Source organism: Homo sapiens, chromosome 6, assembly GCF_000001405.40.
Source record: "Homo sapiens chromosome 6, GRCh38.p14 Primary Assembly".
NCBI lineage: Eukaryota > Metazoa > Chordata > Mammalia > Primates > Hominidae > Homo > Homo sapiens.
In genome coordinates, this window is record NC_000006.12 from 77,650,068 (window position 1) to 77,666,399 (window position 16,332).

Sequence of the window (16,332 nt, forward strand, 5' to 3'; positions counted from 1 at the left end):
ATTTATTTCCGTGAGATGTCTCTGTAGCGATTTTTTTTTTCTTTTTCTTCAAGGCCTTAATCTCACTTTCAGACGAGCAAGCTCGAGGGGGCGCTCTCCGGAGGAAAGAGACTTGGCCTGCGCCATTTCCTTCCCAAAGCCCGTATTAAAGAATGCCGGGTCCGTAGAGCCGAGTACCCGCGTTGACTAGGCTCCTGCTTAGAGCTGGAGTTATTTTCTCTGGACTGGTTGTGGAGCACTCGTCTCCTCCTCGGAACAGCCCGCCAAGAGGGGCAGAAGGGGTCGAGTCGGCCGCAGGGTCTTCTGGGGCTTGTGGTCTCCGGGACCTGCTCCCTCACTTCCCCCACGAGTGGAAGGCCCTGGGCGCTGGCCAGCGTTTCCCCGCTGGCTCTGGTGACCACCTGCGGGGCAGCACGTGGAACCCCGCCCCTGGGGATGGCGCAGAGCGCCTGCTCCAGGGCTCCCGTGCCCGCTTGAGGGCGCCCTCCCCCGCTACAGGAACCCAGAAGGTAGGCGGGGCGGGCCCTGCACAGCTTTCCAGGACGCCCTCCCTCAGCGCGAGGCCTGGCTTTCTGTGCCTGTGGACCACTCGTCCCTTTCACGTGCCCTGGGTTTGGACCTGAGCTCGCAATATTTTCAGGTGTGTATGGAGCTCCGCACACGTTTGGACGTTTCTGTTTACCTAATTGATTATAGACTGTGTCTGCTGTGGAGCTGCTGAAGCATCGGCCCACACCTGTGTGGATTTCTGTGGTATATGCCAGAGTCTGAGCATGTTCTAGCCTGGCTTGACCACCAAAATGGTTCCTGAGCTTGGAAGAGAGGCCTGTGTTTTGAGGTCTTTGGTGGAGTTGTCAAATCTATTCAGTGAGCAGATCTTTTTATTAAGCACCCATTCTATTGGACGAAATAGGTGAAGTGCTGTAGGTGTCAAAGGTGGGACAGACGTGGTCTTTTGTCTCAAGGACCTCACAGGCTTCAGTTAGCAAGGGATTTATAGATCCATAGGAAGCATTGAGGGTAAAGGGTGAACTTGCATAAGGATTTGATAAAGTAGTGTGGGACATGGGGGCTTGAGGGAGAAGCTTCATGGAGGAGGTGTCCCTTTAAGGAGGGATAAGAAACATTTGAAAAATAAAGGCAAGAGTGAGGAATACAGGACAAATGAAGGGCTTGTTAAGAATAAAGGCAGGAAGCCACATATGTATGGAGAAAACAGTGTCTTGGTATATCTAGATTGTTTGAAGAGGCAGGAATTAAGTCTGGAGGAATATCTTGGACTGAAAAGCTTTGAATGGTTTTAAAGTCTGGAATTGCAGACACATTTGGACTTGAATTCCATCAGGAACCATAGATAAGGCAATGTGCAGTTGTTTAATATTCATAAAATGCACATAACGTAGAAAAATATGAATGGAATATATTGTTCAATAGCAACATTTTTGTAAAATTGATTACACACATTGATCACTTTTGGGGGACTTGTTTGTATTTTTGTTGTCTATTTAAAATCGAGAGATTTACAGCGTATTATATGACTGCAAAGAGACTCAGTCACTTGACGGGGATTTGTGAGTTGCTATCCATTATTCTATTTATTTTTATATATGAGGACTTAGTCCTTCAGAAGAGTTTCAGATCAAATGAAATAAAGAGCATGTGTAATTTGAAACATGTATGGATGACTTTCAGGACATGGTAATGGACCATAAATTCAGATGTAAAATTTGAAAATGGTCACACAAAAATTGATAACCATGAGTATGTTTTTTATTCTTTTTTTGTGAATGTTAGTCTGAATGCCAGTATTTGGAATCAGCTTTGCAAAAAACTGTTTTGTAGGCCTTGTTAAAGCTTAGAAAATGTTACGTTACACCATGTCTTTAGTGTGTATGAGGATGTTAGCAGTCCATTGGATATTGTGGTGAAGATCAAAGAGAATATTTTAATTCTTTCATAAGGCATGTGTACATTAAACTCTGCCATGTCAAGGTGCTTGAAGCTGAAGGTCAGGCTGACAATTTATTATAACAAAGCTAGCTAAATTAGGCTAGGTCACTTAGGAGCATTGTTGAGGCAAACATACATATGACTACATTGTGGAGAATAGATTGGAGGGAGTTAGAGATCAGTTAGAAGGCTGATACAATCATAATGACGAGATACTAATGGTTTGAGGAAAATTAGACACATTTTAAAATATAGGACAATAATCATGGGAGTAAGGCTGCTGAAGTCAGAGAGCAAAGTGTTTTAAGAGTAGAGGAGTGCTCGTCAGGGTCAAATACTGCAGATAAATAGAATGGGGGTTTGCAAGTGGTCTTAAGGTTTGGCAGTTATGATGTCATTTGCGACCTAGGTCAGGTGGGGGTGATTGTGTATATATTTTTTCTTTTTTTAAAGCTGGGAGCAACCTGAACATTATTACGTATTGAAAGGTAGAAGTCAATTCAGGGAACGACATTGAAAGAGCTGAGAGGAGAGGATTGATGGAAAAGGTACAAAGGTTTGGTATGCAATTAGTGCACTTTCTTAGAATATAACTTAATGTTAAAGGATAGGAAGGAAGATATTGGCTATTTTTGAGGAGACCGTTATCCAGTAATCATAGCTTCCTTATGTGCCAGCAGAGTGCCTAGAATCCAGCTGGCTTATCTATCCATTCATGTTAAGTTATTCAGCTAAGATTTTCAGAGCTCATCATGTGTTAGCCACAGAGATTTCTGCTCTGAACAGACAGGAAATGGGCTCACTAAGGCCCATAGACATCAAACAACTGACTACATACGGGTTATCCAACTGCAATTGTGATAACTGATAGAAACAAAGAGTATAGAATGTTAAGAGCACCTGTAATCAGAAGGAATTGACATGGCCTGAGGGTATCAAGGAAGGAATTTTCAAGAATAGAATGTTTAAGCTGGTTCCTAAGAGAGGTCTCTCTTGTTACCAAGTCAGCCCTCCCACCCCTGATGAGGCGTTCTCTTGCCCTGTTATCATCTCATTTCTGCTTCTCTGTTTACTGGTGAGCTGGTTCTCCACTCTTGAGCACTTGAAATGTATTTTGCCAGTAGGTTGATAAAGTGGGAAAACTTTCAAAAACCAAGGCTTCGCAAGGATCTTTCTCAAGCCAGTTATTTCTGCATTATGGTGGCTAAATATGAACTAAGTAGACATTTAATTTTATTCATGCTACATTGATTACCATTAGGGAAAGAAAAGGGTTTTGGGTATGGCAAATTGATGTTCAGCCACAGCCTTAGCCTCTTAACATCCTTTGGAGGAACCACAGTGAGCACAGGGCCTGTCACTTCTCATTAGGAATTTTTGGTAACAGCCAATGGAGGTTAGTCTTCTTTTCTTTCATTTAAAATTTTGATGCTCTCTGGGTCAAGTGATTGGGGAATAAGCATCCACTCATATATCTTCAGGGAAATGAAGGTACTATTGCTGCTATGATTTTGCATTTATATAGCACCTGAGTGTTGGCTAAGTGCTTTTACAATCAATTTTATTGTTCAATTTAAAAGGTAGCCTAAAATCACTCCTGTCAAAATTTATCAGAGAAAAGGATCTTTTCTGAAAAATGGGCCTTCTATGATGTGGAAGAACTCTGATCTATCAAAAGATAGATGTAAGACAACGTTAACATCATCTAAAGAGAGTAAGCTGTTAATAGAAGATAGTAGCCACATAATTTTTTTTGTCACCTGCCTTTACAAGGAAAGGAAGTGAAAATAAATATTATAGTGGTAGAAATACATCCCTGTAGGAAGTCAACCCCCCATCATATGGTTTGTAACTAAGGAATTCAGTATAAGTGACAGTATGTATCTTTTAATATACATCCTTAAAGCATCAGGTTTTATTTGGAGCAAGGCTTGGCAAACTGTTTCTGAACAGTGCCAGAAAAAAATAAATATTTATTCAATAGAGTAAATAGTTCAGGCTTTGCAGGCCATACTGTTTCTGTTGTAACTACTAAACTGCAAAGCTGTAGTGCAAAAGCAATGATACATGAATGAGTGGGCATGTCTGTTTCAATGAAATGTGGTTTATAGAAGCAGGCCAGCCAGATTCAGCCTGTGGGCCAGTTTTCCAATCTCTGATTTACAGCATCTCTGAGATTTCTTACTGAACAGGGAGTGTTATAGATAGGAATGATTGATGGCTAAAAGCTCCATAAAGGCAGAGATAGACTTGTTTTGTTGACTGTTATATCCCTGTGTCTACCACAGTGCCTGACAGGTTGGGGATAATTAAATATATCTGTTGAATAAAAGAGTAAGGAATGGAATATTTGATGGAAAATTACCTAAGTTAGGTTAAATGGTTCTATATTCAGATTTTCAGGTTCTCTGACATGCACTGTATGGTACTGCCATTTTGGTTAGAGCAAATTCAGTAGACCTTCCTTATCTGTGGGTTCTTTATCCATAGATTCAAACCAACCACAGATTGAATATGTTTAAAAAATTGAAAACAATAATACAACACTAAAAAAAAAATGAATAAAAGTACTACTACTGTTTATTTTTTATGTTCATTATTATAACCCTTGCATTTTGGAAATACAGCAAGATATATTGAAATGCAATATTTTTTCGTTGATAATCAAATTGAATTTAGATGCATCTGGTTGATGGAATATTGTATATACAACTTCTCTCTGCTGTCCTTGTCCTTTACATTGGGATTTTGTAGAATGAGTCAAATTCACATTTTAATCCTCTGTTCTTCAGACAGTAAGTTTTTGAGTACCTTACCATCTCTATGTGTTTAAAACAGGGTGGCTAGAAAAGAAGCTCTTTTTCTTTTTATTTTTTTGTTTTGTTTTAGTTTTTATTTTTATTTTTTATTATATTTTAAGTTCTGGTATACATGTGCAGAATGTGCAGGTTTGTTACATAGGTGTACACATGCTGCCATGGTGGTTTGCTGCACCCATCAACCCATCATCTACATTAGGTATTTCTCCTAGTGCTATCCCTCCCCACCCTCTGACAGGCCCCGGTGTGTGATGTTCCCCTCCCTGTGTCCATGTGTTCTCATTGTTCAACTCCCACTTATGACTGAGAACATGCAGTGTTTGGTTTCCTGTTCCTGTGTTAGTTTGCTGAGAATGGTGGTTTCCAGCTTCATCCATGTCCCTCCAAAGGACATGAACTCATCCTTTTTTATGGCTGCATAGTATTCCATGGTGTATATGTGCCACATTTTCTTTATCCAGTTTATCATTGATGGGCATTTGGCTTGGTTCCAAGCCTTTGCTATTGTAAACAGTGCTGCAATGAGCTCTTTTTCTATGTGTTGTCTGATGGAGCTTAGTTAAGCATGAGCCCTCCAATAAATATGAGAAGAACCAACATTTCTTCTTCCGTTATTTGCAAATTTATGGGAGAATATAATCTTAATCCTTTTTATACTTCCTCCTCTGCTGTTTAAAATATGAAGAGTTGTCTTGGATGCGGGCTTTTTTCTTTCTGTTATCAGACTTATATATATTTCAAGGCTTTCTATCAAGGAGGTAAAATAGTTTACAAATTTTAGATATTTAGAGGGCTGTGTATATACTATCCTATTTTCTTTAGGTTTTCCTTAAAATAACGAAAGTACAGGAATCATTCTTTTATTACTTTTGGGAGCACTATTTAAAGTAATTTGTTGAACTTTTTATTTAGGTTTCAGATTTAAATGACAGACGTCAGTAGACTCAGAGATTTTTAGTATCTTGTTCTGAGATTTTTTGTTTGGACATTTCGCTCTGTTCTTATGTCCATTATTATACTCCTTAGATTTTGGAAATATAGTAAAATATATTAAAATGCAATATTTTCAGTAGATAATCAAATTGTCTTTAAGGAAATGTTCTGAAGTAGGTTCTTAAGCATAGCCTTCATTTAAGTCAATTTTTATAATGAAAGTCCAATTTACTTTTTAACAGGCTTTCAAAATATCTGTCAGCTCTTTAATTCTTCCTTCTGATTTATTCAGTGAGCTCATTCTTCATTTCATTTTTATTAGATTGCTTTCACCATGGCAGAACTCTGGAAAATAAATCCTCTTGTATTTAACATGTGCTTTAGATTAATCTGAATGAGTAGAAGAATGAAAACAACACATTAGGAAGTAATTTTGATTGTTGGAGAGAGAGATATGGCTTTCTTAATCTTTAAGATAATTGTTAGAAAATATATTTCAGAGGCTGCTTATTGATTGCTTGCTTCTTTTCTTATGACTTCCTATTTTCATGAATGTCTGTCTCTTGCAAGATTAAAAAAAACAAAACAGGGCATATTTTAAAAATTCTCAAAAATAGGTTTTACCATAACTGATTGTTTATGATCCATTCCTTTTTATTTCCTGATAGGAGAAAGCTACTTTCTTTCTTGTCTGAACTGTTGTGTACTTTATGTTCTATTATTCATGCATCAGTTTGTATTTTATGTATTTATTTCTATCTTCACAGTAGATTAAATGTTCCTAAGGGGAAGGATATCCTTAACTCTAGTGCCTGGCACAATCAATAAGTGGTGCTGAACATTTACTGAAAGAACATTAGTTTCTTATAATAATCTGCCTTTTCATAACGGTGCATAAAACACTTAGATAGTTCTCAAGAGGTTGTTGTTTCCTAAATAATTATTTCTCATAGATATGGCTCTAAATAATTTACTCTTAATAATCCACTCTTAATAATTTAGTTTCCATTCTTATAAAGATTATCTTTTAATTAAAAAAATTCACTCACTATCCATCATCCATCATTTATTTGATGATTACTAGATAGTATTTAAACCATGTAACAAATAGATTTTAAAAATTACAAGTATTTTTAGTAAACCCTCTTCATCAAAATCAGTTTCCCAAAACCAAAATTGTGTTACCTGATTGCTGTATGAATACAAGTAACTACAGCATAATCGCAGACAGCAAATGAAGCAACTGTTTCAGCTCAAAGACTTTGGCAGTATGTTTCATGCTAAATTGCTGCTGTAAAAATCTTTAGTGGCAAATAATAGACAAATTCCCAGTTTCTCATCTTTTTTCAAAAATAAGGCTACTGCACGAGATCACTGAGAAAGTTACTGATTGAAACTACATGGCTGGGAACTGGATTCCTTAATTATTAATGTGCTTACCTCATTTTCATTACTCATTGATTAAAAAGCTGAAGTTCAGTAAAGAAAGAAACAACTTCAGAGAATAGTTCAAGTGGGCTGAGTAAATATTATATCAGTATTATTTTGTACATGTTGTACTTTCCAGTAATTTTATTAGGTTTTCCAACTGGGATCCATCACTTCATTGACCTAGGATTGGAATCATATTCCAGTCTTCCATCACCTGCCCTCTCTTTTAACAATCTGGAAGCAAGCCCTTCAATTTCACAAACATCTTTTAGAGCTTCCTGTATTCTTTGTGCACTGTCAGCATCCTGGCTTAGTTCTTCCAGCCCTTCTTTACTATGTGGTGTCAACAATCCCTCAGCTCCTTTCTTCCTTGCTTAATCCTCTTAAAACACCACTTGGATTTTTTTTTTTACTCATCCACTCTGAAGGCTGCATTGTTTTCCAGCTGTCTACTTTAAGAAGTCAAGACCCCTCTGACTGACTTTCAAGACCCCAACTTCCCTACCCTATTTTCTTTTATTCCCTAATACCATATTCTTTAGTCAAGGAGCTCATGCATTCTTCCATGAACACCTATGCCATTATATGCTCTCTGCTCTGTTCACCCCATTTGAAGTGCTCTTTTGCCCTGCTTTTGCCTCTCTGAGTTCCCATCTTCAAACATTCCAGGTACACTTCAGAAGTCCCTCCTCCTCCTGTTCACACTAACCCACACTAGTTTATTTCTTTGAGTCCTTCATAAATGTATAGTCAGGTCCATGTGGAGACACAGGATTTGGAGGCGTGAGCCTGGGATTGAATCATGGCTGTATAGTAGTTTTCATGCGTGTCCGTGTGAAGAGACCACCAAACAGGCTTTGTGTGAGCAATAAAGCTGTTTATTTCACCTGGGTGCAGGCGGGCTGAGTCCGAAAAGAGAGTCAGCGAAGGGTGGTGGATTATCGTTAGTTCTTATAGGTTTTGGGATAGGCGGTGAAGTTAAGAGCAATGTTTTGCGGGCAGGGGGTGGGTCTCACAAAGTACATTCTCAAGGGTGGGGAGAATTACAAAGAACCTTCTTAAGGGTGGGGGAGATTACAAAGTACATTGATCAGTTCATTGATCAGTTAGGGTGGGGCAGGAACAAATCACAATAGTGGAATGTCATCAGTTAAGGCTGTTTTTACTCCTTTTGTGGATCTTCAATTACTTTAGGCCATCTGGATGTATACGTGCAAGTCACAGGGGATGCGATGGCTTGGCTTGGGCTCAGAGGCCTGACATTCCTGCCTTCTTATAAGAAAAATAAAACAAAATAGTGTTGAAGTGTTGGGGCGGTGAAAATTTTTTGGGGGGTGGTATGGAGAGAGAGTGGGCGATGTTTCTCAGGGCTGTTTCAAGCGGGATTAGGGGCGGCGTGGGAACCTAGAGTGGGAGAGATTAAGCTGAAGGGAGGTCTTGTGGTAAAGGGTGATATTGTGGGGATGTTAGAAGAAACATTTGTTGTATATAATGATTGGTGATGGCCTGGATACGGTTTTGGATGAATTGAAAAACTAAACGGAAGATACAAGGTCCGAATAAAAGAAGAAGAAAAATGGGTATTAAAGGACTAAGAATTGGGAGGACCCAGGACATCCAATTAGAGAGTGCCCAAGGGGGTTCAGCATAATTACTTGCTTGGTTGGCAAGTTTTTGGGCTCTATCCTTGAGTTTTTTTATGTTGTCATACACCAGGCCAGATTGATTTAGGTAAAAACAACACTCCTCATTTAAGAATATGCAGAGTCCTCCTTTTTCAGCAGTGAGTAAGTCAAGGCCTCGGCGGTTTTGGAGGACAACTGCAGCTAAAGAGTCAACTTGGGCCTGGAGGACTGATAAAGTTTGTGATATGTCTGTGATGCTAGCAGAGAAGTCATTAGACAGGCTACGGAAGGTCGTGACAGAGGTTGAAATGCCTGCTATTCCAGTACCGAGAGCAATAGTGGAGGCAGAAAGTCCTAAACCGACCATCAAGGGAATTAGTGGAATAACTCTTTTTTGTCGTGTCGGTGTCATGAGGGGAACAGGGAGCTCTTCGGTCCCATTTGCAAATTGAATTTTGGGGGTAAGGAAGACTAGTGTGCATGTGCCTGTCCAATTAGCAGGTAGACACATGTAGGTAGAGGATCCACAGAGGAAGAAGAGACCTTGTGTGAGGCAAAACTGGAGATGTAAAGTAAAAAGATGAGGAGTGCTGAAAGGGGTGTCTTGTACCCAGATTCCTAGGGATCCAGCTAGGGAGGCAGCTGTCAGAGGTTGTAATGGGGACTGATGGGGTAACTGCGTAGAGGGGGAGGTTCGATTTTCATGGTGTATGAGAAAACGTTGAGTATCTACGAGCAACCTTTCACTGTTATTTTTGGGGCTGGGTATAAGTAAACGAGAAGAGGGCCTGGGAGGAGAGTCTGATGAGCAAGGGGAAGGTAGCCAAGGATGGAGTGAAATAGAGGGCAAGTGTCTTCCTAAGCAATAATTACTGCTAATGTTTTTAAGTTTGTCAGTATTGATAGAGGGCTTGTCTGTAATATGGAGCTGGAAGGCTCCAATTGTTTCAGTGATGTGTGTAGTTGGGCTTCGGAGATGAAGAGTAAAGGAACATCGAGAAGGTGAAAGATTACCCAGGGGAATTCCAGTGGGTCTCTGCCGAGAGATACATAAAGGAGCAGCCACAGGAATAGTAGTTTGTGTTGTGAGAGGTCCAAATATGGGGGGAGTAGAGTTAATATAAGGAGAAAGGTTTTTTAAATAAGTGTGAAGGAGGGCGGCAGCTTGCTGATGTGAAATGTCTGGGGAAGTCTTGCTGGACCTGTCTAGAAAGTAAATGAGTTCTTCAGAGGGTAAAGGTGAGGGCTGTTAAAGGAAGTTCGGAGGTGTAGGGAGATGGGAGATGTTGCCCAGTCTGTCTGTAAGGCGGGGACAGCTGTGTAGGCACTGGAAGAAAGGGAAATGCAAAGCCAGCAGTTGTTCGCTAAGGAGGGATTAGAAGTGGCTAGGAGAGAATGGGTAAAGTTGATAGTGTGGTGGAGGTAGCTGGGGAGCGGTAGAGGGTGGCATAAGAATGGGAATGAGAATAAGAGTGAGTATAAAAGTAAAGAATAGAACTTCATCAGGGTGGAAATATTGGAGGGTGCCTTGCTAGCAAAGATCATCTATCCACTCTAAGAGGGAGTTAAGAGTGGCAGTTTGGGGATAGCACCAAGAGATATCAGCTGTGATGGCTTGAAGAAACAGTGTAAACCGGCGGTGTAAACAAGAGTAGGGCATTTGTAAGTAGTTGAGAATGGAGAATAGGAGTATGACCGGACAGAAGATAGTAGGGATGACTAGTTTTTTTTGGGGGGGCTTGGCCTAAGTGGTGGGGGTGACTTCGTAAAGCCCTGTCGCAAAAGTAGGGTAAGGACAAAAAGACCTAATAGAATGAAGGGATGTATTAGGCTCATAAGGGTTATTACTGTTCTTCAGAAATACGAGTGAGTTTAAGGGAAGTAGGGGAGAGTACTTGCAACTTCCAGGAGGAAGAGGAGGGATTAGGCTGGCTGTCCGATGGACACAGCTTTATTCTGGAATGGTGAACCCAGTGGGGAGGATCCTGCAGGCGGACGGCAGTCAGGGTACTATAGATGACTAAGTAGGGTCCGGTCCATTGAGGTTGTAGAGTTTGAGGGGTCAGATTCTTAACAAGAACTGATTGTCCAGCTAGGGTGTCTTCGTATGGCTGGGGATCTGGAGTAGGCAAGAGAAGATTAGCAGCCTGGCGAATTTCCTGTCTAGCCTGCTGGAGGACTGGAAGATAGTCGCCTAGAGGGCTGGTGTCTGGGATGAGGTTGGGGCCAAGCAAGAAAGTGCGTCCATATAAAAGTTCAAAAGGACTGTACCCTGTAGCATCTCGAGGACAGGCTGTGATGCTGAGAAGAGCAAGAGGTAAAAGTACTGTCCAATCCTTTTTAAGTTGGAGGCTGAGCTTGGTGAGGTGTGCCTTTAAAAGACCATTAGTCCGTTCTACCTTTCTTGAAGATTGAGGATGGTAAGGGATATGAAGATTCCACTGAATACCAAGAGCCTGAGAAACTGCTTGGGTGATTTGACTAATAAAGGCCGGTCCGTTATCAGACTGTATAGAGGTGGGAAGGCCAAACCGAGGAATTATGTCTGACAGAAGGGAAGAAACGACCGCGGTGGCCTTCTCAGACCCTGTGGGGAAGGCCTCTACCCATCCAGTGAAAGTGTCTACCCAGACTAAGAGATATTTTAGTTTTCTGACTCGAGGCTTGTGAGTAAAGTCAATCTGCCAGTCCTGGGCAGGGGCAAATCTCCGAGCTTGATGTGTAGGAATGGGAGGAGGCCTGAACAATCCTTGAGGGGTAGTAGAATAGCAGATGGAACACTGAGAAGTGATCTCCTTGAGGATAGATTTCCATGATGGAAAGGAAATGAGAGGTTCTAAGAGACGGGCTAGCGGCTTGTAACCTATGTGGAAGAGGTTTTGAAATGACGACAGAATAGAATGGACCTGTGAGGCTGGAAGGAGATATTTTCCTTGGTCTAAGAACCATTTGCCTTGTGTGGGAAGAGATTGATAGGGGGAAGTTTCAGAGGGGGAGTAGGTGGGAGTGACCAAAGTGAAGGAGAAAAACTGGCCGTGAGGGACAGAAGTTGGAGAGCTAGCTGCTTGTCTAGCCACCTTATCAGCATAAGCATTGCCTAGAGCAATGGGATCTGACGCCTTTTGATGCCCCTTGCAGTGAATGACCCCAGCTTCTTTTGGAAGTAAAGCGGCCTTGAGCAGAGTTTTTATTGAAGAGGCATTAATGATGGAGGACCCTTGTGTAGTGAGGAAACCTCTTTCAGCCCATATGACTGCATGATGGTGCAGAATATGAAAGGCACATTTAGAATCAGTATAGATATTGACGCGTAGTCCTTTTGCAAGAGTGAGGGCTTGAGTTAAGGCAACTAGTTCGGCTTGCTGAGAGGTAGTGGAGAGGGGCAGAGTGGTAGCCTCAATGATAGATGTGGAAGATACTACAGCATAGCCTGCCTTTGCTGGTGAGTGGTGATTAGGCCTGGTGGAACTGCCATCAATAAACCAAGTGTGATCAGGGTGAGAAACAGGGAAGAAGGAAATATGGGGAAATGGGGTGAACGTCAGGTGGATCAGAGAGATGCAGTCATGAGGGTCAGGTGTGGTATCCGGAATAATGTGGGAGGCCGGATTGAAGTCCAGACCAGGAACAATGGTAATTGTGGGAGACTCAACAAAGAGTGAGTATAGCTGAAGGAGCCGGGGAGCAGAAAGTGTATGTGTCCGGTGTGAGGAAGAAAATAAATTTTGGAAATTATGAGAGCTGTAGAGAGTGAGTTGAGCATAGTTTGTGATTTTGAGGGCCTCTAAAAGTATTAATGCAGCGGCAGCCACTGCACGCAGACATGAGGACTAGGCTAAAACAGTAAGGTCAAGTTGTTTGGAGAGAAAGGCTACAGGGTGTGGTCCTGGCTCTTGTGTAAGAATTCTGACCATGCTAACCATGCCTAGGAAGGAAAGGAGTTTTTGTTTTGTAGAAGGTGATGGGGTTTGGAGATCAGTCAGACATGATTGGCAGGGAGAGCACGTGTGTTTTTATGAGAATTATGCCGAGATAGGTAACAGATGAGGAAGAAATTTGGGCTTGATTGAAGTAATGGGGGCTGTCTGTGAAGCTTTGCAGCAGTACAGCCTAGGTAATTTGCTGAGCTTGATGGGTGTCAGGGTCAGTCCAAGTGAAAGTGAAGAGAGGCTGGGATTAAGGGTGCAAAGGAATAGTAAAGAAAGCATGTTTGAGATCTAGAACAGAATAATGGGTTATAGAGGCAGGTATTGAGGATAGGAGAGTATATGGGTTTGGCACCATGGGGTGGATAGGCAAAACAATTTGGTTGATAAGGTGCAGATCCTGAACTAACTTGTAAGGCTTGCCTGGTTTTAGGACAGGTAAAATGGGGGAATTGTAAGGAGAGTTTATAGGCTTTAAAAGGCCATGCTGTAGCAGGCAAGTGATAACAGGCTTTAGTCTTTTTAAAGCATGCTGTGGGATGGGATATTGGCATTGAGTGGGGTAAGGGTGATTAGGTTTTAATGAGATGGTAAGGGGTGCATGATCGGTCGCCAAGGAGGGAGTAGAGGTGTCCTATACTTGTGGGTTAAGGTGGGGGGATACAAGAGGAGAATGCAAAGGAGGCTTTGGATTGGGAAGAAGGGCGGCAATGAGATATAGCTGTAGTCCAGGAATAGTCAGGGAAGCAGATAATTTAGTTAAAGTGTCTCAGCCTAATAAGGGAACTGGGCAGGTGGGGATAATTAAAAAGGAGTGCTTAAAAGAGTATTGTCTAAGTTGGCACCAGAGTTGGGGAGTTTTAAGAAGTTTAGAAGCCTGGCTGTCAATACCCACAACAGTTATGGAGGCAAGGGAAACAGGCCCTTGAAAAGAATGTAATGTGGAGTGGGTAGCCTCCGTATTGATTAAGAAGGGGACGGGCTTACCTTCCACTGTGAGAGTTACCCGAAGCTCGGGGTCCGTGATGGTCTAGGGGGCTTCCGAGGCGATCAGGCAGTGTCAGTCTTCAGCCGCTAAGCCGAGAAGATCTGGGAAGGAGTCAGTCAGAGAGCCTTGGGCCAGAGTTCCAGGGGCTCTGGGAGTGGCTGCCAGGTGAGTTGAACAGTCCGATTTTCAGTGGGGTCCCACACAGATGGGACGCGGCTTAAGAGGAATCCCGGGCTGCGGGCATTCCTTGGCCCAGTGGCCAGATTTCCGGCACATGTAGCAAGCTCCTGTGGGAGGAGGTTCTGGAGGAACGCCTGGCCGTTGCGATTCAGGCGTTTGGAAGTTCTTGTGTGCTGGAGATGTGGCTGGGGTTTGTCTCACAGTGGAGGCAAGGAATTGCAACTTTTTTCTATTATTGTACACCTTGAAGGCGAGGTTAATTAAATCCTGTTGTGGGGTTTGAGGGCCGGAATTTAATTTTTGGAGTTTTATTTAATGTTGGGAGCAGATTGGGTAATAAAATGTATATTGAGAATAAGACGGCCTTTTGACTTTTTGGGGTCTAGGGCTGTAAAGTGTCTCAGGGTTGCTGCCAAACAAGTCATGAAGTGGGCTGGATTTTTATATTTGATGAAAAAGAGCCTAAACGCTATCTGATTTGGGATAAAGAAAAAGCATTAACCTTGACTATGCCTTTGGCTCCAGCCACCTTTTTAAGAGTAAATTGCTGGGCAGGTGGGGGAGGGCTAGTCACGGAACGAAACTGTAAGCCCCACCAGGTGTGAGGAGGGGAGGCGATAAAAAGATTATAGGGTGGAGGAGTGGAGGCTGAGGAAGAATTGGGACCTAGCTCGGCCTGGTGAGGAGGGGAGAGGTCAGATGGGTCTGTAGAAAGGAAGATTAGAAAGACTCAGCGACGCTTGGGGTTGGGACTGAGGGGACAGGCAGGAGGGAAAGAAGGAAGATTTGGGATGAGTTGCACTGGGCACAGAGACTAGGAAGGGACTGATGTGTTAAAGAATGCCTGGACATCAGGCACCTCAGACCGTTTGCCTTTTCTAAGACAAGAATTATTTAGATCTTGCAGGATGGAAAAATTCAAAGTGCCATTTTCTGACTTTGGAACTACTGTCGAGTTTGTATTGGGGTCAAGCGGCATTGCAGAAGAAAATAAGGCATTTAGGTTTTAGGTCAGGTGTGAGTTGAAGAGGTTTTAAGTTTTTGAGAACACAGGCCAAGGGAGTAGAAGGAGGAATGGAGGGTGGAAGGTTGCCTGTAGTGAAGGAAGCAAGCCTAGAGAAGAGAGAGTAGAGAAATGGAGGGAAGGGGTTCGGGGGTTCTTACCTGCCAGAAAAGTGGGAAAAGGGGTTGGGGCGCAGAGATAAGAGGTCGGGGCATGGAAATAAGGGATGGGGTGCAGAAATAAGGAGTCGAGGCACGGAAAGGGGTCGAGGCATGGAAATAAGGGGTCGGGACATGGAAATAAGGGATTGGGGCACAGAGATATGAGGTAGGGGTGCGGAAATAAGGGATTGGGGGTTCTTGCCCCCTAGAAAAGTGGGACTTGCCACTAAGGGTGAAAGATAAGGGGTTGAGGGGTACTTGCCCCTCCCCCAGAAAAGCGGGACTTGCCGCTAAGGGTGAAGGAGAAGGGGTTGAGGGGTACTTGCCCCTGCCCCAGGAAAGCGGGACTTGCCGCTAAGGGTGAAGGAGAAGGGGTTGAGGGGTACTTGCCCCTGCCCCAGGAAAGCAGAGAAGGGATAGAGACAAGGAGAGAAGGGATTGGGGTACTTGCCCCTTCCCCAGAAGAGCGGGATTTGCTGCTAAGGGTGAAGGACCAAGGCAGGTGTCCCTGCGTGGTCTGACACCTTTGAAACGTGGGTGAATAATCAGGTGTCCCTGCAATGATTAAACACCAAGGGAAGGCTGCCTTCCCAGTCCGTGACCGGCGCCGGAGTTTTGGGTCCACAGATAAAACGTGTCTCCTTTGTCTCGCCCGGAAAATGAAAGGAATTGAAATTAAGAGAAGGGAGAGATTGAAGAGTGGAAAGAAGAAAGTGGTTGAGGGACAGTGAGAGAGGTTGGAGGAGAGAGTAAGAAGAGGTCGCTTACCTGATTTAAAATTGGTGAGATGTTCCTTGGGCTGGTCGGTGTGAGGACCTGAGGTCGTAGGTGGATCTTTCTCATGGAGCAAAGAACAGGAGGACAGGGGATTGATTTCCCAAGGGAGGTCCCCCGATCCGAGTCACGGCACCAAATTTCATGTGTGTCCATGTAAAGAGACCACCAAACAGGCTTTGTGTGAGCAATAAAGCTGTTTATTTCACCTGGGTGCAGGTGGGCTGAGTCCGAAAAGAGAGTCAGCGAAGGGTGGTGGATTATCATTAGTTCTTATAGGTTTCGGGATAGGCGGTGAAGTTAAGAGCAATGTTTTGCGGGCAGGGGGTGGGTCTCACAAAGTACATTCTCAAGGGTGGGGAGAATTACAAAGAACCTTCTTAAGGGTGGGGGAGATTACAAAGTACATTGATCAGTTCATTGATCAGTTAGGGTGGGGCAGGAACAAATCACAATAGTGGAATGTCATCAGTTAAGGCTGTTTTTACTTCTTTTGTGGATCTTCAGTTACTTTAGGCCATCTGGATGTATACGTGCAAGTC

The 16,332-nt window shown here is 42.9% G+C and overlaps 1 protein-coding gene across 3 annotated transcripts in view, besides 1 other annotated feature; it reads left to right on the forward strand.

Annotated features, from left to right (window-relative positions):
- Window positions 1-206: 206 nt before the first annotated feature.
- The window catches only part of MEI4 (meiotic double-stranded break formation protein 4), a 276,772-nt gene continuing 260,646 nt past the window's right edge, over window positions 207-16,332 (forward strand). For 2 of the 3 annotated variants that reach the window (NM_001322247.2, XM_017010155.2), the window contains exon 1: window positions 2,972-3,025. The gene's annotated coding sequence lies outside the window, so the exon portion shown is untranslated. Of the gene's footprint in view, window positions 641-2,971; window positions 3,026-16,332 lie in introns of those variants that run through there. The other variant, NM_001282136.3, reaches the window with a different exon arrangement.
- Window positions 463-552: a silencer, noted in NCBI's record as "silent region_17344". NCBI's record gives its function as "represses an Ori minimal core promoter by ATAC-STARR-seq in GM12878 lymphoblastoid cells {active_cell/tissue: GM12878}" and the evidence as "EXISTENCE:reporter gene assay evidence [ECO:0000049][PMID:35858748]".